This window comes from Homo sapiens, chromosome 20 (genome assembly GCF_000001405.40).
Source record: "Homo sapiens chromosome 20, GRCh38.p14 Primary Assembly".
Classification (NCBI taxonomy): Eukaryota; Metazoa; Chordata; class Mammalia; order Primates; family Hominidae; genus Homo; species Homo sapiens.
In genome coordinates, this window is record NC_000020.11 from 62,408,801 (window position 1) to 62,431,894 (window position 23,094).

The 23,094-nt window shown below is 62.5% G+C and overlaps 1 protein-coding gene and 1 long non-coding RNA gene across 2 annotated transcripts, besides 4 other annotated features; one reads left to right on the plus strand and one right to left on the minus strand.

Annotated features, from left to right (window-relative positions):
- Positions 1–1,436: 1,436 nt before the first annotated feature.
- On the minus strand, positions 1,437–18,739 carry RBBP8NL (RBBP8 N-terminal like). Its single transcript, NM_080833.3, has 14 exons — positions 18,660–18,739; positions 10,787–10,930; positions 9,623–9,665; positions 8,424–8,519; positions 7,960–8,072; positions 7,364–7,436; positions 6,988–7,145; positions 6,778–6,860; positions 6,321–6,487; positions 5,021–5,756; positions 4,601–4,745; positions 4,030–4,100; positions 3,824–3,953; positions 1,437–2,196 (listed from the first exon to the last, which is right to left on the minus strand). The coding sequence occupies exons 2-14, from the start codon at positions 10,845–10,847 to the stop codon at positions 2,078–2,080; spliced, it is 1,995 nt and encodes a 664-aa protein (NP_543023.2). The 5' UTR covers positions 10,848–10,930; positions 18,660–18,739; the 3' UTR covers positions 1,437–2,077.
- Positions 1,884–1,943: an enhancer, noted in NCBI's record as "active region_18201". NCBI's record gives its function as "activates an Ori minimal core promoter by ATAC-STARR-seq in GM12878 lymphoblastoid cells {active_cell/tissue: GM12878}" and the evidence as "EXISTENCE:reporter gene assay evidence [ECO:0000049][PMID:35858748]".
- Positions 14,209–15,000: an enhancer, noted in NCBI's record as "H3K4me1 hESC enhancer chr20:60998065-60998856 (GRCh37/hg19 assembly coordinates)". NCBI's record gives its function as "activates a minimal SCP1, AML or CMV promoter by ChIP-STARR-seq in naive H9 embryonic stem cells {active_cell/tissue: H9 hESC(naive)}" and the evidence as "EXISTENCE:reporter gene assay evidence [ECO:0000049][PMID:30033119]".
- Positions 17,579–18,338: an enhancer, noted in NCBI's record as "H3K27ac-H3K4me1 hESC enhancer chr20:61001435-61002194 (GRCh37/hg19 assembly coordinates)". NCBI's record gives its function as "activates a minimal SCP1, AML or CMV promoter by ChIP-STARR-seq in primed H9 embryonic stem cells {active_cell/tissue: H9 hESC(primed)}" and the evidence as "EXISTENCE:reporter gene assay evidence [ECO:0000049][PMID:30033119]".
- Positions 17,953–18,247: a silencer, noted in NCBI's record as "tiled region #8312; HepG2 Repressive non-DNase unmatched - State 20:ReprD". NCBI's record gives its function as "represses a minimal TATA promoter and a strong SV40 promoter by Sharpr-MPRA in HepG2 cells {active_cell/tissue: HepG2}" and the evidence as "EXISTENCE:reporter gene assay evidence [ECO:0000049][PMID:27701403]".
- A 290-nt stretch (positions 18,740–19,029) lies between the features above and the next one.
- Positions 19,030–22,709, plus strand: LOC105372710 (uncharacterized). The gene is made up of 4 exons (NR_187662.1): positions 19,030–19,173; positions 20,275–20,518; positions 22,064–22,264; positions 22,460–22,709. It is a non-coding gene; the product is annotated as an uncharacterized LOC105372710 (long non-coding RNA).
- Positions 22,710–23,094: the final 385 nt, after the last annotated feature.

Sequence of the window (23,094 nt, forward strand, 5' to 3'; positions counted from 1 at the left end):
GATGAGAACAGAAAGGGGCGAGTGAGGGTGGAGGGCAGGACGCAGGAGGCAGGAGGCAGCTGTCCGTGCTGGCTGCAGCGCCGGGTCCTGGGGATCGGCTGTGCAGTAGGGGGGCCCCTAGCCAGTTCTTCTTTGCTGGCGCTAAGCTAGACTTTGAGGGACAAGGAGGAATGCTGAGGAAGGAACGGGGTCTCTTCCTGGGTCTGGTGAACCCCCTTGCTAGGCTCCCGCTGCCAGTCTTCTCCCCTCCCCAGGGTGTCGATGGGTGGCCAAAAGCCAACCTGGCCTGCGGGCAGTGTGTAGGGAACACACGGCTTTTGTTTCGTGTGATTCTGGAGAAATTAAAGCAACCTTTAACACACCTGGACTTCCCTCTTGGGAGTTCAGTCCCTCTGGCCTCTCAGGACAACAGGCAGACATGTCACAGGCTGCAGGTGGGAGGCAGTGCCCCCTGAGTCAGGCCCGCACCCCAGTCTGGCCCAGGCCTCACCCAGCCCAGTCGTTGGCCCGTGTCCTGCCATCCCTGTGATGCGTGGTTTTAAATGCCCAGCTCACCTTGGTGCTTTGGCTGCAGAGGGCCCTGCTCATGAGTTTCGCTCCTTATTTTCTTTGGCTCTCACCCTGAACTCTGAGCAGGTGTCAAGCGCAGGGCTCTGTCTGGATGCTCCTGACTGCAGGCCTGGCCCTTGGGCTGACTTCTTAGTTTCCCCCTTGCCCTGGCACCCCTCCGTGGCCCCCACCTTTCCTTTCTGCCTGATCCTTGTCCATTTTTCTAGAGTTGGGGTCTCAGCAAACTTCCCAGAACATCCTAGCTCCTTGCCTACTTGGCACACTCCTGTTCATCCCTCAGAACCCAAATTTGGGTTGCAGGTGCCACCTGCCTTGACCTCCCAGGGACACCTGCTCTCCTCCCCGTCCCCCAACACTGGCCATGACTTGGTGCCATTGCTCCTTTGCCCACCGCTCCCTGATGCCCAGCAGAGGTGTCAGTGCCCAGTGTCTCTGCCCTGTAAGGGGCAGTTCTCAGACTTCACATTTAGGAGAATTACCTCTGGGAGCTTCTTAAAACACAGACTCCAGGCTCACCTCTAAAGTCCTGGTTCAGTGGATCCGGGGTTGGGCCCAAGAATCTATTTCTTAAGCTCCTCCCACGAAGCTGGGAGGGACTGATACTCATCCTCCCCCGAGGAGCAGACAGCCTTGAGTGCTCCCGGTGGAGTCCTGGCGAGCTGCCCTGTGGCTGCCAGGCCAGGGACTAGTGAGGAGGGGCAGGTGCACACGGCCGCCGCTGTGGCCAGGCACTTCCCCGAGGGTGCCCTGGTCCCTTCCCGCTGCAGACTCTGCAGAGGAGCTGGTTTTATTCTGCCCTCCCGCAAGGGGGTGACCTCCAGTCCCTGGCACAGTCAGTGGTGTCCTGGGGCCCTGCCAGACACATGCACGGTTCTTCAAGTGTTTATTCTCCGTCACTCAGGGGACCCGGTCTTCGAGGGTGCTGCCGCCCACTGTCTCCCTCCACCCTCACTGCCAGACATCTGTTTGCTGTCAGCCCACGAGGGGGCGTCCAAGATTGTGCTTGGAGCTTGGCGGGCAGGGGTGGGGGTCCGAGTGGTCCGTTGCCTCCCAGAGCGTGGGCACTGCCTGGGAACGGCTGCAGTGCACAGCAGGGGTAGGGCTGGGCTGGAGCCTGAGTGATCCCGCCTCCAGTCCCCACACCCCTCAGGGAGCAGGTGCTGGGCTGTGGGAGGGGCCGCAGAGCATTTCCCAGGTGGGTGGAGACGGGGTGAATCGCCAGCCTGAGACCCCTCTCGGTCCTCCAGCCCCTCTTGAAGTGGGCCAGGATGTGCCCGTCACCGGCTCTTCGGGGTTGCCTGCTGGTTGGGTGGTGTGCCCTCTCCAGGCTGTGGTGAGCAGGCAGAGAGCTGCCCTGGGCTCACTGTGGGTTCAGCTGAGGCTGGCTAGGTCTTCTCCCAGGGTTCTGTGCAGGGCTGCCTGCTGGTTGGATGGTGTGCCCTCTCCAGGCCCTGGTGGGCAGGTGGAGGGCTGCCCCGGGCTCGCTGTGGACCCTGGTGCAGGCTGGCTAGGTCTCCTCCCAGGGGCTGCTGTTGGGGGAGGGACTGTGGTCCTCGGCGTCCCTTGGGCTCCCGGGCCCCTCAGTGGCTGTCAGTTTCCTTCTCCCTCTGGATGGCTTTTTGGAGGCTATGGGAAGTGGCCGGAGGTCAGGCCGGAGCTGTGTGCCTTCCTTTGAGGCAACACTGGCTCTCACCTAGGGCCTCCTGGGTCTCCTCTGGGCACGGGGAGCTGGGTGCTTGGGGAAGTTTGCTGGCCACCCTTGTTCCTACAGAAACCGGTGCCCAGAGCAGGGGTAGCCCGATCTGAGGGTGAACCCTGAGAATTGGGTGGAGGGTGGACACTCTCCCCATTGTGTGACCCCGAACACGGCACTGACCCCAGTGGCCCCCTTCCTGCCTTGGAGGGAGCCAGGCCATACTGGCTGGCCTGACACTGGCTGCGGGCCTCAGCAGGCCTGCCCCCGGGCTAGGGCCACATGGGAGGGGCGCCTGGTTCCTGCGATGGTCCGGGGACGGGGATCCTGCCGAGATGCTGGGCTTAGGCCATCTCTGAGGCACAGCAAGCTCAGGCTCTGAGTTGAATGGGTCAGGTTTGAATCCTGACACAAGTCCCAGACCTGTGACCTTGGGCAAGTGACCTCTCCCCTCTCAGCCTCAATTTCTGCACCAGCCAAACAGTGATGATCCTACCTGCTGGGCAGGGTCATAAGGCTCACAGGCAGCCACAGCTGCACCCACTCTTCTGGGGCACTAGGCACGAGGATGCTGGCTCTGGCGCTGAGCTGTGCTCATGCTGGGCAGGGACCTGCTCTCACTGATCGCCACAGCAGTTTCTCAGGAGCCCCTGCCAGCGTCCCTGGTCCCGGCTCAGGTAGGAGCACAAGGGTGTGCTGGCTCACAGACTGCACCCCCCGGGGCCATTTCCACCCACTCAGCAGGAAGTGCCTCAAATAAGGGCCGTGCTGGTCTCTACTGCCGCTCCGGGCAGACGCAGGCCATGGCCACCTGCCGGCAACAATGGCACACAGTGGCGGCACCACCCCGCCTGCTGCCTGCGGGCCTTGCCCGGAGAAAAACCAGGGCCATACAATTAGGTGTTCAAAGTCTCTCATGGGCTCCTGGACCCCAGCTGGAGCTGCCATTGAGCCCAGAGCAGGAAGTGAAAAGTTGTCCCGATACCCTCGGACCAGGGCCGAGGCTCCTGCCGGCATTACTGGGAGGAGCTGGGTCCAAGGACACTGCCCTTGGCAAACACTGGAGCCGTCCGCAATTCCCCAGGGGAGCAAACGTGCCCCCATGCCCCTCGGGGCTGTGCCTTCTGCGCTGACCCTGTCTGCAGGTGGACAAGGGGCCCTGGGGATCTGCTCCTTGTGGCAGCGGCTTATCCTGTGCACCAGGACACCCTTCCTTCCAGGATGATGGTGGGGACAATGACCATCCCCTGGCTCCTTCTCTCACCGAAATCTCCTACGATCCCTAATGTCAGCCCCCTTACAGGCGAGGAGACTGAGGCTCAGATTTGGAAGGACCTGACACCAACCTACACAGTCAGAGGCTGCACAGGAAGGACTCACTCCGGCCACCCTCGCCCTCCTCTGTGGGGTTCATTTGGGGAGGGTTGAGGTTCATTTTTGGCTCCATCATTCTGAGGCTGCCATTCTCCAGGCAGCCAGGAGGAGAGGTGGCACTGGGGAGAGGTGGGTGCTGTGGCTCCCCTCGCCCCCTTCCCTGCACCTGCCCCATGCCAGCTGTACCTTTGTCCCCAGGCTCCGAGGCCCGCTTCCTCTTCCGTGGTGGACCCTGCCCGTGCTCCTGGGTGCAGATGCACTCAGGCCCCTCCCCGGTCGTGCTCGTAGTGGCCTCCGCCTGGGAGCTCAGGCCCACCTGGGGAGAAGGGGGTGTGGTCACGAGGAGGACTGCCTCCTGGCCCTGCCCTGCTGAGTGTGTGGCCTGGACCCACCTCGCTGCCTGGGGTGTCTGTCTCATCCAGTTCGTCGGACTCTGGTCTCAGCACTTCAGCCTTGCTGGGCTCTGAAGGATGCAGAGTGTGGGGTCAGGCCAGGCTGGTGGCACCGGGAGTCTCCCGAGCCTGCCAGACTAGGATGGGTGGAGCCAACTCTGCAGATGGGGAAACTGAGGCACGGAGGGCCAAGTGACCTGCCCCAGGGCACTGGCTGACAGGAGGCCGACTGGGGTTTGGGCCCAGGCCTAGTGTCCCCATCAGTTGGGGTTCCCGCCCCTGGCTTGGATGCTGCATGATGGGGCACTCACAGCCTGCTTGCCAGCCCTAATTGCTAAGGTGCTTTTCCCCCTCACTGAGTGTTGTTAGAGAGGCTCCTGCCAGGCCCTCGGCTTCCTCCGGTGTCTGCAGGTGGAAGAGCCAAGCCCTGGAGCCTGGGGTTGCCCCGTCAGATCGGCAGGGCAGAGCTGGGCCTGGAGACACCCACTCCTGGTGGGCACTGACCACCACCCTCTCTCTCCGTGGGGAAAACACCTCCCAGCTGGACTCTGACCCCAGGTGCTGACTGTACCTGGGTGGCCGTCCAGGTCAGGCGGCTGTGGGTGGGGAGGCGGCTGTGGGTGGGGAGGTGGCAGAGGCCTCCCTGTGTCTTCATCTTCTGTACTGCCTGGAGAGGACAGGCTGAGCTGGGACCCTGGAAGTGGGCGTGAGGGGTCCTGGGGGGAGGCAAGTAGGTGGCTTGAGTTTATTTGGGAGACTTCCTTGCCGCCAACTCAGCCCTGGACAGCCGGTGGGACCCCTCTTGAGGCTGCAGCTGGTGGAGGGGCCTGCCTTTCCCTTTATAGTGTGGATGAGGCAGCCTCGCTTTCTCCCTGGGAAACAACTTGGTGGGCAGAGGGAAAAGAGCAGCCCGAGGTCTGGGGGGAGGCCGGCCCGGGGTGGGGGACGTGGAGGCTGAGGACCGGGTCTGAGCCAGGACCGGGCTCCTTACCATGGGAGTGGAAGCCTCCTCCTGCTCTGGCACTCTGGTCCCCTTGGTGCCATTGCTGAGTGCCTGGGGACTGCGAGTCAGGGGTCCGGACTGGGTGGGTGGCTCGGGGCTGGCAGTGTGGGCAGCGGCAGGGCTGAGTGACCCATGCTGGCCGGCCGGCTTGGGAGTGTCCTGGCCCCGGGCCCGGCCCCACTCCGAGAGGTCCAGGGGCTTGTCTAGGGCACAGTCCTGCGTGGCTGCAGCCTCTGTCCTCTGGGCGCGGCCCGGGCCTGCAGGCTGTGTGTGCCGCCCTCCAGACAGGCCTGCTGCGGCCAGAGCTGCCCTGGTCCCCTCATTCTCAGGGCCCTCAGAGTCTGAGCCGACTGGTAGGGAGGGCAGCATCTCCCCGGGTGTGGGCTGGCCCCTTGGCCTGACACTGCCTGCCCTGGCCCTAGCCCGCAGCTGCTGCTGGGCCAGGAGCAGGTGCAGTGCCCCCTCCAGGCGAAGGTCCTGCATGCCCGCCAGGGCACTGGGCAGCCCCAGCAGTTCTGTGGGCTCCTCCCAGGCCTCTGCTTCTCTGGCCTTCAGGTCCTGGAGCCGGGGGTCGCTGGGGGCTGCAGCAGGGGCCAGGGGGCTGCTGTGGGGGCTCTGAAGGTGCAGGGACAGGGGGCGGTTTAGGAGGCAGAGCCGGTCCACCTTCGGGGAGAGCTTCGGGGCCTCATGGGTCATGGCGGAGGGCCGGGAGGCCCGCAGGAAGCTGTGAGGGAGGAGAAGCCGAATGACCATGGCTGTGTGGAGCCGTGACCGTCCCAGCGAGCCCTGAGAGGGAGAGACGACAGGCACCCACTCCACAGGCGAGGAAACTGAGGTCCAGAGAGGTGCAGCAAGCTGCATGGGTCCCATGGCAGGTAGTGGAGGGAGGGGAGGCTCAGCCCCCAGCTCTGGAGGCCATGCTGTGTGGACCTGGCCAGAGGTGGCCTGTGGTCTGGGCTCCAAGGTGGGGCCAGATGCCGAGGCCTCCGTGTCTTCTTGGCAGGGACATCGGCCCCCTGCTCCTCACCTGGAGGGTCCTAGCCACCTGTCCACCCTCCACACCCTACTTGTTCTCAGACAATGTCCACATCCCCTGCCCCCACGCCCCAGGCCTGGCCACTCTGGAGGTGTCCACGTGGGAACTTTGCTCCAGGCTGGGTGCCCAGAAAAAGCCAAGCCAGAGAAGTTCAGGGCTGTGAGGGATAATCAGAGGGACTGCCCTGGGACCAGGGGCTGAGAGAAGAGCTCATCTGAGGCTACTCTGGGTGAGGGTGGGGCAGGCGGGCACCTGTCCAGGGAGAGGCCACGCTCATACGCTGGGCTGGGTGGGCTGCTCCTGGCGGGCAGTGGTGGGGGCGTCCCATTGGCGGGGCCTCGGTCGGCAGGGCAAGCCTGGGACCCAGGCCGCACCACGGCAATGGTCCCGTGCAGCTGGTTGGAGATGCGCTGGGGGCTCTGTGAGGATGGGTGGGTCAGCCTGGGCGGGGGCATGCGTGGCCTCTGCTGTGGCCTCTGCCATAGCCTCTGCTGCCTGCCCTGGGCTGCTCCCACTCTGCCCCTGCTCACTGCTGAGCTGCACCCCCACCCACGCCAAATGGAGCGCAGTGGCTCCTGCCCGGGACAAAGGAGGGGCACATTCAGGGTTAGGCGCATGAGAGGCTGGCATACTGAAAGTGCAGCTGCCTCCAGCCTCCTGCCTGCGCCGGCCCAGCTGCACATGGTGGGCTCCCGGTCCCTGCCCTTACCATGTCTGGGGCTCGCGACTCAGGCAGGGTGGCCCCTGGGGAGATTTTGGCCACTGGAGATGTCCTGTGCCCTGCTGGCTTTTCTGTGGGAGGAGAAGCCAGGGGCAAGAGCTTGGGAGGTGCTCAGAGGGGCAGCGGCCCAGCCCCAGGGGGAGGATCCCTGGTCCTGCGGGGGCCCAGCCTCCCAGCCTCACCCGGTCCCCACAGCACCTTCTCCCCGTAGGCCCACGCCCTGGTGGTCTTCCTCAGCCTCCTCGTGGCCTCCCGGTGGCTTCTCTGTGATGGCCTTCCAGCCACCAGGGGAGGGGAGCAGCAGGGGTGAGGGGGGGTCCGAGGTGCCCTCCTTGGCCCGGGGCTTGGGCCTGTCTCTAGAGGGGAGGCAGAGACAGGGAGGGTGAGGGAGAGCAGCATCTCGGGAGATGATCAGAAAAGCCGGGCCCACTCCTGGGTGACCCCAGGTGACGCAGCTGTCCCGACACTGCCTGAGAGTCCTCCATGGGCGGTTCCCCCAGGGACGTGTGCTGGGTGCTGCTCGGGGGGTGCTGGGGAGTTGGGTGTCTGAGCCCTGGGACCCTTTCCCACTCACCCCAGGCCCCGAAGCCGCTTCACCTCCTCCTTCAAGGTCTCGTTCTCTTCCTTCAGCCCGTTCATCTCGTTGGCTGCAAAAGGCACTGATGAGCAAAGCAGCCAGGGGTTGGGGGGGACAGGGGCAGGGGTGGGGTCGTCACAGCACCAGGGAAGCCCCTCAGCAGTGCCCCCAGCACGTAGCCCAGGGCCTGGCAGGCAGCAGGGGCGCCGTGGATGCTGGCTGCGTGCATGGCTGATTGGATGCTGTTGAATGAGCAGTGCCGGCCTCGAGGGAAGGGGGCTTGCCCTTGGTCATCAGGAGGGCCACTGGGGCCTCAGCACTGCAGGACCTTCCGCATCTCAGGAAGGAGGCCGCGCCCAGTGGGGGCCGGGATGCCCCCAGCCCAGGGGAGGGAGGCTGTGTTGAGGGAGGGCCACACCAGCGCCGGCTGGGGGCTTTGTGTGTTTGTCTGTAGATTGGGTTGTGAGGTTCCCCCAGTGGTGTGGGGCCGATCGTCCTGCCTCCTTTCCCCATGCCCCTACATGGGCTGAACAGGCCTGGGGTCGCCTGGCCCCGTGGGAGAGGACCCCGGTTGTCTGGTGGGTGGGGCTCACTGAGGATGAAGATGCGCTGCAGGTTCTGCAGGTGGGAGCTCTCGAACTCCTGCTGCCGCTTCCTGGCCAGCTCCTGGGTGACCATGCAGCGGTCGCACAGGCCGGCCCGCAGCCTGCAGGGATGGGGACGCAGGGGGTGTGAGGGATGGCACGGAAGCCACAGAGGGCCTGGGACACTCACTGCCCCACTGCTGGGAAGTGCCCCTGCCCTTTGCAAACTATTCCGTAGAGCCCCAGGCCTCTTCCCACCCCGTGGGCTAGGTGTCCCATGTTCCACTGAGTTTGGGGAGAAATCTTGAAAATGCAATTTCCTTAAGGCTCTGAGATGTCCTGCAGTGGGGAAACCTTCCTGGTTCAGTTTATCCTGGAGTTTCCCAAACTCATTCTCCGAGGAGCCCTGTCACCTCCTCCTCTCCTGAGCCCACCGGTCCTGGCCATGCTGCGAGGTGTCCTCCCAGGCCCACCTGTTCTCCAGCACCCGCAGGTTCTCCTTCAGTGTCTTCTGCTGTTCCCGGAGCTGGTGGTTCTTGGAGAAGAGCTCCTCGATCCTCTGGGCGTCCCTGTGGTGGGAAACAGCTAAAGTGGGGTCCTGTTCCATCCAGGAAGCCACACGCTGTCCCCACCATCCAGCCTGGGGGGGCAGCGCGATTCGGCACCTGCAGCCTTGGTCTGGGGGCAACGCCTAACCCGGTGCCCCCCTCCCAGTCATCTGCACGCTCCTCTGTGACGTCTGTCCCGTCCACGCAGCCCCCCCAGTCATCTGCACGCTCCTCTGTGACGTCTGTCCCGTCCACGCAACGCCCCCCCAGTCATCTGCACGCTCCTCTGTGACGTCTGTTCCGTCCACGCACCACCCCCCCCAGTCATCTGCACGCTCCTCTGTGACGTCTGTCCCGTCCACGCACCCCCCCCAGTCATCTGCACGCTCCTCTGTGATGTCTGTCCTGTCCACGCAACGCCCCCCCAGTCATCTGCACGCTCCTCTGTGACGTCTGTCCTGTCCACACACCACCCCCCCGGTCATCTGCACGCTCCTCTGTGACGTCTGTCCTGTCCACGCAACGCCCCCCCAGTCATCTGCACGCTCCTCTGTCACGTCTGTCCTGTCCACGCAACGCCCCCCCAGTCATCTGCACGCTCCTCTGTGACGTCTGTCCTGTCCACGCAACGCCCCCCCAGTCATCTGCACGCTCCTCTGTGACGTCTGTCCTGTCCACACACCGCCCCCCCTGTCATCTGCACGCTCCTCTGTGACGTCTGTCCTGTCCACGCACCACTTTAGTGCCACAGCACAGGCAGGACCATAGCCGGGTCTATAAGCCAGAACGCAGGGAGCCTGCCCGCCCGCCAGTGTCTGACCAGACATGACCCCAGCTCACCGTGAACGTATTGTTGATATTCTGATCATGATCCTGGGGTGGGAGAAGCCCCGAGTAGGGGGCTTGCCCCGCCCCTGGGAGGCCGACGCAACTGGGTTCAAGTGCTGGCTTCGCTGCCTGCTCACCGTGTGACCTTGGACAAGTGACTCCCCCCGCCCCCACACTGAGCCTCAGTTTCCCTTCTGCACCATAGGACGGTGGTAGTGCTGGCACACTGGGGCTTCAGGGGGATGAAGTGGCCAGTGTGGTCCCTGTGAGGAGGGGCCCTGCTTGGCCTGACTCACCGGCACCTCTCTGAGTTCAGTTCCAGAAGCTTGTTCTGCAGGCCTGGGGGAGCAAGCAGAGGGGCGGGGGGTCAGGCCCAGCTGCTGCTTCACCTTCAGTGTCCCCACCACGGGGTCTGGGCAGAGCTGCAATGTGGCACTCCTGTCCCCTGCACCCCCTGGGGGAGCCCTGCCAGGTGAGCCCCTGTCTGTGCCCAGGCACGGGGCTGCCTGAGGCTCGGTGGTCTCGGCCTAGCATCTGTTGCTTCCCCTGGGGTCTCTGCCTCCGGCATCTGTCTGGGGGTGTCTGGGGGTGAGCAGGGACCCTGGTGCCACAAGTGACCAGCCACCTGTGAAAGGTAGAGGGACCGAGGGGCCATTTTGTGTGTGTGTGTGTGTCATAGCTAGTGTTGAAATAAGATAAGCTTCTGGGGCGGACCCCACCAGACCCTCTCCTTGCCGTATCTTGGGGATCCAACCTGGGCCTGGCTAGCCCCAGCAGCCCCACCTCTCTGGGTTGCCTAGGAGGCAGCCGGGTCCTTGGACCTCCAGGTGGGTGTGGGTGCTCAGTGGAAAGACCACGGGGAGGTGCTGGCCCTGGGACTGGACTGGGGGTGGTGTGGGGGCTGCGGCCCTGTCCCTCGTGGGGGAAGTGGACAGGGGTGGGGCCTGGGGCGTGTCCTAGAAGGAAGAGAAGAGTTGCAGCTCAGTGCCTTGACATGTTCTGGATGGGTCCAGAGAGCCATAAGCTCCTGTTTCTGGAAGTGGCTGTCTCTGCCCTGGTGAGCTCAGCAGGCCGGCCAGGGTGGGTACTTCTTTCTGCCACGCTGGAGGCCGGCCCACGGGAGAACAAAGCATGGGCAGCATGGGGCCTGCGGGTGGCAGGTGGCCATGAGGTGTTGGTGGCAACCCTTGAAAGTGCCCCTCCCCCTCGGGGTCACACTCTGGGAGTGGCTCGAGGACATCCCCGCTTGAGGTCAGCACTCGGGCCCAGGCAGGGTGTCTGCCACGTTGTAGCTCTGGGCCTTGGGTCAGGACTCCCCTGCCTGGGCCAAAAAGACGGGGTCCATTCCCTGACTTGGTGGGAATTGGAGGTGATCATGGGTGCACAGTGGCCTGCTCCGACCCTTAGGTGAGGGCTGTGGAGACCCCTCCCTAGCCTGGCATCTGTCCCTGGCCCCTCACCCAGGACTTCCTTCTCGTGGATCTCCTTCAGCCTGTTCAGCGACTCCATGAAGCTCTCCATGGCTCCCTGTGGCCCTGGCCCGGGCCCCTCTGCGCTGGGGTTGTGGAGACGCCTGCAGCCTCTACTGCCCCTCTGTGTCCATCCTGAAGAGGAGGAAGAGGGGACAGGGATCCGCTCAGGAAGGGCTTGTGGGCTGTGGAGTCCAGGAGAGGATTGGGGCTCCTTGTGTCTGTATGGAGCAGACCCCATGCCATGCTGTAGGGGCTACTCATGGGAGGTGGCCTGGAGGCTCCCGAACCCCACGGGCAGGCACAGAGATAGTACATTGTGTGGCTTCCTCCCACACGTATGTGGCCGGGGGCCAGAGGGCAGGGTGCTGGCTGCCGTGCGGGAGGGGCTGGAGGGGCCAGGGAGCATCTGGGGTGAGTGCCGGCACCTCTGAGCCACCCCGTTCTCCCCAGGTATCCAGCCCATCAGTGCCTGGCCTGTCCCCACATAAGCCCTTCCCCTGGCACCTCAATGGAGGGACAGGGAAGCCTGGCAAGAGCTGGATGGTGCTGGTGGCACCTGCCCAGCTGTGAAGCTGGGAGTCAGACCTCACCAGTAAGAGCCCCACAGACCCTACCATGCCACTGTCCACACCCCGGCCCCAACACCACTGTCACAGCACCTCCTTCCCTCTCACCAGAGCCCTGTACTCAGTTCCCTCCTGGGATCTCTGTCCCCCTCCAATGCCGTGGCAGCTTCAATCCTGTCCCACAGGCACACACACACACACACACACACACACACACACACACACACACAGATAGCATGTGCACACAACACACATGCACATATATGCAAAAGACACACACAGAGCATGTACACACATAACACACATGCACAAAGACAGACACACCACACAGCATGTATACACACAACACACAGGCACACACCCAGAGTTACACACATACAACACATATGTACACAGACAGGGATGCCCACACACAACACACAGAGACACATAGACATGGGTATACGCAGACACATGCTGACAACAAAGCTGTGCAGACATAGAGACACAGCTACACATGCAGTTGCAGGTACACGGAAACACACACAGCCACAGCAGCCCCCTCTGCCCGGAAGCGGCTCCCACACGCAGATGCTGGAAGGTTCCAGGAAGAGGTAGGAGCCACTCTGAAGAGGTCACAGGCCCCCTCCCTCCCTGCCTGCCTCCCCTACCCACAGGTCTCAGGAGGTCCTTGGTAGGCAGTGGGTATCTTGTGGTCTCACGGACTAAGGCCAGAATTAAGGGGCCGTGGGGCCTTTGCAGGCTGGGCCTGGGGACCTGGGCTGGAGCACTCATCGTCAAACCCTCCCAGACCTTTCCAAATTCCCAGTGGCCTGGAGAGCTCCCAGGCAGGGCTGGGCGGAGTGAGCCTGGGGGCGCTGTGACTGTCTGTCTGTCCTCCCCTGACCCTTCCCCCTCCTCCCACAGATTGGCCTCCAGGCCTGGGAGGTTGGGATACCGGTCAAGTGGCTGGGCCTCTGCAAGCCAGTGTTTGTGGCACACAAACCGCTGCAGTTCAGACTTCTTCACCGGGTGGCTTGTGCTTCACGCGGTCGGGTGGGGGAGTGTGTGTGTTTGCCGTGTGTGTGCACGCCCGAGCCAGTGTGCATGTGTGTGCCGTGTGTGTGCATGATAGCCAGTGTGCGTGTGTGTGTGCCATGTGTGTGCACGCCCGAGCCAGTGTGTGTCCCATGTGTGTGCACACCTGAGCCAGTGTGCATGTGTGTGTGCCATGTGTGTGCACACCCAAGTCAGTGTGCGTGAGTGTGCGTGTGTGTGCCGTGTATGCGTGATTGCCAGTGTGCATGTGTGTGTGCCGTGTGTGTGCATGCCCAAGTCAGTGTGCATGTGTGTGCTGTGTGTGTGTGATAGCCAGTGTGCATGTGTGTGCACACCCAAGTCAGTGTGCATGTGTGTATGCCATGTGTGTGCACGCCTGAGCCAGTGTGCATGTGTGTGGCATGTGTGCATGATAGGCAGTGTGCATGTGTGTGTGCCAGAGCCAGTGTGCATGTGTATGTGCTGTGTGTGCATGCTCAAGCCAGTGTGCATGTGTGTGGCATGTGTGCATGATAGGCAGTGTGCATGTGTGTGTGCCATGTGTGTGCATACCCGAGCTAGTGTGCGGGTGTGTGCCATGTGTGTGCATGCCTGAGCCAGTGTGCATGTGTGTTTGCTGTGTGTGCACACCCGAGCCAGTGTGCATGTGTGTGTGCCATGTGTGTGCATCTGTTTTTGCTCTGTGTGTGCGTGCCCAAGCCAGTGTGCATGTGTGTGTGCTGTGTGTGTGCATACCCAACCTACTGTGGAACCACTGGTGCGTCACCTGAACAACTGTGTCGGCCTCCTCCCTGCCTGGCCTCCTGCTCAACCTTCCCTGAACCCCCTGCCTCCCCCCATCTCTTCCAGGACCACTCTCCATGGTGGCCATCCCTGGGAAGCTCTGGTCTCTGCTCAGATGTGCACCGCTCTGCTCAAAATCCAACTTCGGGCTCGCAGCTGGAGGCCATGCCCAAGGCCTCGCCACGGCCAGCCCAGCCCAAGTGGATCACAGAGCGGAACAGCCATGGCTGCATCTGGGTTCTCAAAGGTCAGCCTGGAGACGCCCACGTGAGGGTCCTGTGTGCAACATCATTCTACAGAACCGTCCCGAACAGGACCGCCTAACCCCATCCCATGACGGGTGGAATATGGTGGCCGCCCAGCCCCATGCCCATCCCAGCGTGGCCAAACCACCCAAGCCAGGCTTGAGGGTGCATTGAACACAGAAAGAGGCACTTGCCCTGGGGCCCTGGAAGTCAGGTGGTGGGCGTCTTTGGGGGTGGGGCTGGGGTGCCTCTAACTGAGGGTGGCAGGCCTTGGACCCCGAGAGAGGCCTTGGGACCCCGAGAGAGGCCATGGGGCCTGGGGTGGGGACGGGGACTGGGGTGGGGATGGCGACTGGGGTGGGGACGGGGACTGGGGTGGGGATGGGGCCCGGAGTGGGGATGGGGCCCGGGGTGGGGATGGGGACCGGGGTGGGGATGGGGACCGGGGTGGGGATGGTGACTGGAGCCACTTGGAAGGAGGGTGTCCTAACTCTTGCCGAGCCCTTGCACCTGTGATCAAGCATTAGTGCCGAGCCTGGTGGGGCAGCAAGGGGTGTGGGACAGAGTGTGGCCTGTGTTCGGGGGTGGCTGCAGCGTCCCCAGGGGCCCCTGACAGGGCTAGTGGGGCTGCATGGAGGGCGGAGCACCAGGATGCTGGGCTGCAGAGGCTCAGTCCACAGACCCGCCTGGGCTTTGGGGCCTCCAGCCACCCTCGGAGGGAGTGGGGGTGACAGTTGGCGGCTCTGTGTTGGGTGGGTGAGGGATCCTGGGACTAGGGAGACTTGGGGCTTTCCTGGTGGGAGGCTGGGAGGGATGTCTTTGCTGGTGAAGGGGACCAACAGGACGCTGAGCTCCAGAGGTGGGGACAGCATGGAGCCTGCCGGAAGCAGGTCACGTGGCCAGCATCAGTGGTTCTGACCCTGTTTCCCGAACTCCGTACACACTGAGACCTTCCTGACAGCCCACGGAATCTTGACCACACCACGAAGACCTCGCTCCAGATGGGGAAACTGAGGCTCAAACAGATCAAGCCTCCCGTCTCAGTCACCCAGTGGGAAGTGGGATCTGGGTTGTGCCCAGCTCCTGGGGCTGTGGGTCTGCATGCTCTGCCTGTGTGGACTGGGGCGTCCTCCCCATGGCTCTGGTGCACCCAGCTGCACTGGCTTTTCCTGGCCAAGGGGGCCCCTGGGAGGAAGATGTCAGAGCCGGGGCCTCCCTGGGCTCAAGCAGCTGAGGAGGGCCAGGAGGGGGCGGAGCTGCAGCTCCTGAAACTCCCCCCAGACCCGCCCAACAGGCCACTCTTCCCTGGCCCCCAGCATCTGCCATGTGGGCTGGGCCGACGCCCATAAAGGAGCCGCCCAAGGGAGCCCATGGTGCCTGCGGGCCTGGGAGAGGTCTCTGGGGTCCACACGAGAGGTGGGCTTCCTTCCCAGTGAAGTCACTGTGGTGCAGAGGCTGGGACGGAGCCTCTGCTGTGCCTCCCACTCACAGGATCCTTTCTGTGCCCGAAACCACCTGCAGCACTCCTAGAGTGCTGGAGAGCTCCGGGGAAGGGATGGGAGGTGGAGGGAAGTTGCAAGCCTTGGTGCTTTTGGGGAGAAGAAATGAACCAGGATTGTAGAAATTCACCCAGACCCGCACCCGCAGCCTTGAGCCAGGGGTCAGCAGCGGGGTCAGTGGGGCTGGCTTTTTCTTCCCGAGTCAGCCTTCTCTGGGTTTGTTGGGCTTGCCAAGGGCAGCTAGGGGTGCTGGGGCTGGGGGAACTCGGAAGGAGGGTCTCCTCCAGGCCTGGGTGGGGGCTGCAGTGGGGCTGTGATGGGGGAGCAAGCCTACCGGGGCGGGGAGGGGCTGGGCTGAGGCTCATGGGGGGCTTCACAGGGCTGGGGTGAGAGAGCTGAGCTCTGGTCCAGGGTCACCCTCAGCCACTCCTCCCACTCCCAGACCCTCCCACTCGGGAGTCCAGGCTGGAGGGTCTCTGTGGGTGCTGAGCCCCCTGGAAGGAGTGGGGGAAGGGGAGGGCAGGCTAGTGAGCCGCTGTCCCACCTGCTGCTTGCAGCTGGGCCGTGGGGGGGGCAGGTGTGAGGGGCGCATGTCTGTCCCCCTCGACACCACTCTCACCCCACCATGCCTTGCCCTCTGCTCCATTTTGCCACTGAGAACACGACCCAGAGGTGGCGTCTTGCCCACGGTCAAAGCTAGTGAGAGCCGGGCTGGGCTTCAGCTAACCCAGGCCGGCAGCTCCGCCTCCTGCAGTGAGGTGCTACTGGTGCCAGCACCTTTGCCTTCGGGGGACTGCTCCTTAAAACCAAGGGGCGACGTGCTGCTCTCACCAGAACGGAACAGAGCCCATCCAGTAAACGGGTGCCTCTTATCCCCCGGACAGGGCCCAGGAGAGCCCTCCATGGGGAGCCTGAGGCTGGCAGACCACCTTCCACCTCATGTCCTCATCCAGGGAATGGACATGCACTGTGGGCCCTGCCTGTCCCTCAGGACTCCCACCTCCCTCTAAAGGCCCCCCAGAGCCTGCACCTGCCCTCCTAGGGTCTCCACCCACTCTCCCAGGGCACTCTGGAGTGGCCACTCAGAGGGGGCAGAGGTTTGCTGTTGTTAATCCTACCTCACGCATTCTCAGAGCCCCAGCAGAGAGGGTGCACCCCCCCCACCCGCTGAGCTGGCTGGGGCGGGGCAGGGGTCGCATTCCTGAAGGGTGCTGGCTGGAGAGTCAGTCTGGGCGGAGGGTAAAGGTGTGGGCTTCCCAGTCAGCAGCCCTGGTGGGGCTCTCGGACCCATCTCTGCTCTCTATGCGGCCTTGGGCAAGTTGCTTTTCCTCTCTGAGCCTGTTTCCTCACCTGGGGGTGACAGCACCCCTGCCCCTGTATCAGGCTGCTTAGAAGCTCCTCACAGGTAATGCCTGTGTGGCCAGGAGCTCCGTAGACAGGAGCGCTCAGTGAGCAGCCGAGGGAGACCCCGATTCACCTGCGCCTCCCTCATGACCTGCGCCTCCCTCATGTGGGACCCCAGGTGTCCAGCAGTGCTGACGGCAGGACCCTCTGTGCTTGGACAAGGTCAAGTCTCATTGCCACAAAGGCCTTGTGCAGGAGGACGCAGCCCTCCCCACGCTCAGGGCAGAGGTCCGGCTTCTGACGGTGATGACACTCATCCTTGGACGGCTGCTCACTACGGACTCCAATGGGCTCACGGCATCTCTGTGGCTACACCCAGGGGAGATGCCACCTGCCTCCCACACACAGGCCAGGGAATCACAGGCCCAGCTGTGGCCCTGGCAGGACTGGACATTGTCCGGCCGAGTGCCAAAACCCACAGTGATGCCTGTTCTTACCCTGTCCTCTGGGAGGCCGGGCCCCCTGAGCTCCTCTGCTGTCTGAGCAGGAGGCATCCGGGGCATCACTGGGCTCCCCGCCTCTCCGAGGGCACTCAACCAGAGAAGCCGCCTGGGCACCAGTGCTCCAAGGACGTCTGCCAGGCCGGCTGCTCTCCACCCCAGCCACCGACCCCCAGCAGGCTCTTTGGGGCAGGAGTGCGGAGCTGGACACTGGTACCCTCCGTCTCTGAGGCCTGGGCTGTCTGTATGTCCATCTGACTGACTGCCCACCTATCCAGGAGCAACGGTGATGGCCACAGCAGTAGCAGTGGCAGTGGCAGTGGCATAGCAGTGGCAGTGGCATAGCAGTGGCAGTGACAGTAGCAGTAGCAGTGGCAGTGGGAGTGGCATAGCAGTGGCAGTGGCAGTAGCAGTGGCAGTGGGAGTGGCAGTGGCAGTGGCAGCGGCAGTGGCATTAGCAGTGGCAGTGGCAGTGGTAGCAGTAGCAGTGGCAGTGGTGACAGTGGCAGTGGAAGTAGCAGCGGCAGCGGCAGTGGCAGTGGCATTAGCAGTGGCAGTGGCAGTGGTAGCAGTAGCAGTGGCAGTGGTGACAGTGGCAGTGGAAGCAGCGGCAGCGGCAGTGGCAGTGGCATTAGCAGTGGCAGTGGCAGTGGCTGCTGTTGATCACATACTGTTCTGTGTCAAGCACCACACCAGGCTTTTTCCCACTTGCATGGGCACTGAAACCATCCTGCAGCTTTGCTGAGGAAGCCAAGCTCAGAGTGGTGCCCTCTGCACCTTGACCCGCTTCTCCCCAAGGGATTCCCCTGCCCCTGTCCACCTCCTGGCTGCCCCTGTGGAACACCCACTGCATAGCTAGGTTGGGCACATGCATGTGGCCGGGGCCCACCTGGCCTTGGAGGAAGTGCTGATTGTCTCATTCTACAGGTTTGGACACTGAGGCTTGAAGCAGATCAGAGATGAGCAGGTGGAGCAAGATTTGGACCTGGACATGGCCTCAGAGTCTCCTCCCACCCTCTGTGGTAATGGGCAAAGCCTCTCCCATGGAGACTTCGGCCAGGTCGCTTGTCTGGCCGTGCCTCAGTTTCTGTGACTGTAGAACAGATGTTGGTGGTGAGCCCTGACCCAGGCTCCTGTGCACACACCGCCGCAGGGCCCCCGGGACAGCTGCACACGCATGTTGTGTGTGCACATGCACTCGTGTACCCCACACGCGCGTGCGCCCGTGCACTCGTGTGTACACATAAACAGAGGAGCCAGCCGAGGTGTCCCTGCAGCTCAGGCACAGCAGCCCTGCAACCTGACTCCCTCCCGGAGGTGGAGGTGGGCCGGGCTGCTCTCCTGCCCTGCCGGCTGGCTCCCTGAGGCCTGGCCCGTGGGGGAGGGGGTTGAGCAAGGCCCGCCTTTGTGGCTGCTTCCCCACAGACACAGCGGCAGAGGAGTCCCCTGCTCAGTGCCCAGCTGCGGGTGCTGCACCCCTGCACCACCCTCACCCCTGTGGCTGCGCCCGCTTATCCTCTTGTGAACCTGGATGGTGGGGCGGGACAGGCCCAGGGTGGAGGGCGAGGCCACCAGCCTGTCCCTGATGCCCCAAGCCCCTCAGCAGACCATGGACACTTCCTGGGCCCTGGTGCCAGACTAGGCCTGGCCTCTTTGCACCCAGCTCCTGCCAGGAACGCCCACTGAGCTCTCTCCGTTGCTAGGTCCCTGGACCAGGAGCAGCCTTGTGCCACCCCTTAGGGAAGACGTCCAGTCCCACCCACCCCCGCGGCTCTCCTCGCAGGAGTCCAAGCTGGGCCTCCAGCCTCCCTGGTGAGCACCCCAGCCAGGGATCCCAGCTCACCCGGCTACTTGGGTGGCCTGGCCCCGGGGTCCCGGGTACTCACATGGCTCCTGGCCCTGCCTCAACCTCTGTCGACCTCTGCGCGGAGTCCCCCACGCTCTTCACAGGGAGAGAGAAGTGAGCGGGCTGTGAACCTGCACAGGCAACAAGACAGGATTTTGGCCAAACCCGCTTGACAGGTTTTCGATTCTCCCAGCCAGGAGCAGAAAGGAGGCAGAGACTGCCCTGAGCCGCCAGGCGGGTTCTGCCATCTCGCAGAAAGTGGCCGGACAGGTTGGGTCTGAAGCCACATAGAGTTGGGATTGTTTCCTCATAATCACTGTGAGGCTGGGCTGCAGGAGCCAAGCTGGTTAGCACTGAGAATCCAGTTTGGTGCCTGTGACACGGAGGGCCCGGGCGGGGAAGGGTGGGGGGCTTGCAGGGGTGCCTGGGTCGGGGGCTGCAGGTGGGAGTGAGCAAATGTGCTGTCTCGCCACCTCGGGACAGGTGGTAGGGCCTCTGACACAGAGTGGTCCTTCCTGCTGTTCACAGCTCAGCTCACCGTGGGCTGACCATAGGTAGGTGACAGTCCCCTTTCTGGCCTCGGTTTCCCTGTCTGTAAATTGGGGATAATAAGCTCAAGAGCTGTCCCTGCCAGAACCCAGTGGACAGAAATCCAGCAGCTGCTATGGGAAGCGACCCGCCCAGCCTGCCCCGCCCTGCCTGGGGAAGCAGGCCTTCTGCTTGAGGGGGACTGGGCGCATGCTGGGCCTCTGGTCTGCGCAGTCTGCCCGGGGTCTGTGAGTGCTTGTGAGTGGGCTTCTCCAGTCTCCAGGTAGGCTGGGTGCCCCCGGCCAGGTGGAGCCCAGGGGGGCAAATAGGCTGGGGGCTGGCCTGGCCCCGGGTGGCACGGCCCAGGTGCTGGAGCAGCCTCACACTGTGGTCTCGTGTGTGTTCCCTGGACAGCAACACTGTGGCTGCGGGGTACAGCCCTGACCCCCTCATGCCTTGCCCCCTGTGTCCTACCCACGACCCCTCCCCACTCCCTCCTCCCCGCCTCCACCTCCGCCTCTGCCTCATCCTCAGCCTGTCTTAGCTCTGCACGGAAGCAGAGCGGGGGTTCCCGAGTCCTTGGGGCCATGATCCCCAGCGCACCCGAGTACCCCAGGAATGCACGGGGCTCAGAGGAGGAAGCCTGGGAGCCTGGCCTGTAGCCGCTGCCGCGAGGGGAGGACGGACTTCCTGCTCCCTGGCAGGGCCCCTGCTGGTGGCTGGTGGCCAGCTCTGGGTTTGGGATGAGGGCTGGGTCATCTCTGGCCCCACGATGCCCTCCCACTCAGGACCAGGCTCTTGGGAGGGGGTTGTGGTCAGCATGGGCCACTCCAGCTCTGGCTGGCCTGGGAACTTCGTGGAGGCCCCTCCTCCGGCCACCTCCCTGTTCCTGGCTGGGCCCTTTGTGAGTGGGGTCTGCTTGCTGCTGGCGTGTGTTTTGTGTGTGCCTGTGTGGGGACTGTGTGCACGTGTGTGTGTGTGTGTGTGTGGGGATACGAATGTGTGTGCATGTCTTACATGTGTGTGCCTGTGTGTGCATGTGTTGCACGTGTGTGTGTGCACATGTGTGCGTGGACATGTGTAGCTGCTTTGTGCTGTGGTCTGGATGTTTTTTGTGTCTACCCCAGATTCTCGTTGAAATCCTAACGCCCCAGGCAATGATGTTAGGAGGCGGGGCTTCTGGGAGATGGCAAGTTCGTGAGGCTGCAGCTCTGCTGGGGGATCAGTGTCCTTCTACAAGCGGCTCCAGGGAGGTCCCTTGCCCCTTCCACCATGTGAGGACCCGAGATGGTGCCGTCTATGAACCGGGAAGTGAGTCCTCTCCGGACGTGGAACAAGTTGGTGCCTTGATTTTGAACTTGCAGCCTCCAGGTATGAATGTGAGCTCTGGGCTCACTGCCTGTGGGGAGCCCTGCCTCACAAGGAGGGGTCCCTCTGCATCTGCCATGCATGGCTGTTTCAATCAAAGCTGCTGTCTAACACCACCGGCTCGACCTTGAGTTCCTCCCTGAGCAAAGCCAAGCGACCTCCTGGACTGAGCCAGTTTTCGTGCCTGCCTGCCCTGGCTCATTGGCCAGGGACCCCACCCCGCCATGTCCAGGCCTTGGTGATACAGGACAGAGGTGCCCGTGCAGGTTGTGCCTGTGGCTGGGTCCCCAGGGAGAAGGTGGCAACCCCAGGCCAGCAGCCTCCTACCCTGAACTCCAGGCAACATCGTCGGCCCCCTGGCACTGCACCTGCACTGTGGGCAGAGAAGGAGGGAAGGCTGGGAGAGGAGGAGGAGGTCGAATGTCGCTGGAGGTCGGCGTCCTTCTGCAGCCGTGGGTTTGTGTGCCCCTTTGTTCATTCATGCAACCATCCAAGACCCATTTCCTGGCTGCCCACCAGGCCCTGTCCAGGCTCTGGGCACATGGATGGCCAAGAACGTGACTCACACATTTACGGGGCTTTTGGCTGTGAGAATCGGGCACACAGAGGGCACTGTCTGAGTCTCAGTTTACTTGTCCCTTGCAGGGCTGATGAGGGTGAAAGGGGTTCCTCTCCTGGTACCACTCACCTGTTCATTCATTCAGCCGATGTCTGTTGAATCCTGATCAGCCAGGAGCTGGGGGGTGTGATGGACACCCAGGCACCGGCGTCCGGGCTCGCAGGAAGCATTGCAGAATGAGGCAGCAAGGCCTCAACACGCTGCTGGCAAACCGTGGCCAGGTTTCAGCGTGGGGGCTGCTCCATCGCCCCATTATACAGCTGAGGAATGAGGCCCCAAGTGTGTGTGTGGCCTCCCAGCCCTGGCAGCCACCCCCACCTGCACCTGAGGGGCTGGGGCTGCTGGGCCTGGGGTGAGGGACCAAGAGGGCTCTTCATGGCCCCCTACACCTGCTTCCTAGGCCAGATGGGGGCCCAATGCCCCACCCCAGAGGTGAGGCAGCCTTTTATCTCTGAGCTGGGAGGGGTGGGAGATAAGCTTCAAAGGCATCTCGCTGTAAAACGCACCTTTAAAAGCCGGCCCTGCTGCCTGGTATTTGTGTTACTGGAGCGATAGATAAAGGGTGGGGTGGCCAGTGCAGTGGCCAGGTCAGGCCAGCCCTGCAGCCCTGGCCCCCAGATAAATGGGTCACCTATTAGCACGGCCCTGCAGGAATGGGACTGCCTTCTGTGACAACCGGGGCCCATCCCCACCCTCCCTGCAGACAAGCCCTTGCTGGCCCGGCTGGGGGGCATCCTGATGGCGGGTGCTGTGTGCCCATGGGGCCAGGCTGCACTGGGCAGGAGGGGTGCAGATGTGGGCCCTGCCTGGGCACTTGGGAGGGCGGAGGCTTTCTTGGTGGGGGGAAGGATCAAGCCCCCCGTCTTTCCTCCACATGGTCTCACTGCTAGTCACCCTATTTTATGTTCTCATGATTTTTATTTGTATAGCTTCATGGGGTTTAAGTACGATGATGCTGCATTGAGACGTTGTACTGTGTGAAGTCAGGGCCTTCTGTGCATCGGTCGAGGGTGCAATGCACACGGCACCCCCGAGCAGCCACCCATCCTCCCTTCCCTCCACCCTGCGAGGCCCCGTTGTCCGTCTGTCCACACTCTGCTCCATGAGCACACGTGACTTAGCTTCGCCTTGTGAGTGAGAACCTGCAGTATTTGTCTTTCTGTCCGAGTTGTTTCACTTAAGATAACGTAGGCACCCTCTTTTAAAAATTACTTTTTGCTAATACAAGAACTGCAAGGATGCCCCCTGCCCCCTCCTGCGAAGCACTAAACATGACAAATAAGACCAAAGTCTCCTTTTATTGTCGCGTCTCATCCCCTCCCCAGGTGAGCCGCTGCTTGGGGTGAGCATGCTTCCTGCTGGATGCTTCTCTATGTAAGCACCTGCCTGAGTGTCAGCCCTCTTAAGGTGAACCGCTCCGTGTCATTCGTACATTCACAAGTTTGTGCCGCCATCATCGTGATCGGATTCCAAAACATTTTCATCACCTCCAAGAAAGCCTTGTACCTGGCAGCAGTCACTGTCTCTATGGATTTGCTTATTCTGGACATTTCATAAAAATAGAATCAAACAGCATTTGGCTCTTCGTGTCTGGCCTGTTTCTCTGAGCACGATATTTCGAAGATTCAGCTGGGTCTCGCTCCTGTTCCTGGCTGAAGCTGAATAATATTCCAGTGCACGGCTGGACCACAGTCATCAACTGACGGACACTTGGTGGTCTCACATTTCCACTGGTGTGAATAGTCCTGCTGTGAACATGCGTGTGCGAGATTTTGGTTGAACACTTGTCCTCAGTCCTCTTGGGTGTGTATCTAGGAGTGCAATTGATGGGGCTTATGGTAACCCTAAGTTTAACTTTCGTTTACTTTTTTGAGACAGAGTTTCGCTCTTGTTGCCCAGGCTGGAGTGCAGTGGCACGATCTCGGCTTACTGCAACCTCTGCCTCCAGGATTCAAGTGAT

Bases quoted from the DNA above. Each gene is read 5' to 3' on its own strand.
- RBBP8NL (NM_080833.3), bottom strand. From the start codon at position 10,847: ATGGAGAGCTTCATGGAGTCGCTGAACAGGCTGAAGGAGATCCACGAG. The intron at 8,073-8,423 runs GTGGGCCTGGGA...CCATCCCTGCAG, and splicing joins CTGCGGGTGCTGGAGAACAG to GCTGCGGGCCGGCCTGTGCG. The intron at 7,437-7,959 runs GTGAGCCCCACC...TGCCTTTTGCAG, and splicing joins GCAGCGCATCTTCATCCTCA to CCAACGAGATGAACGGGCTG.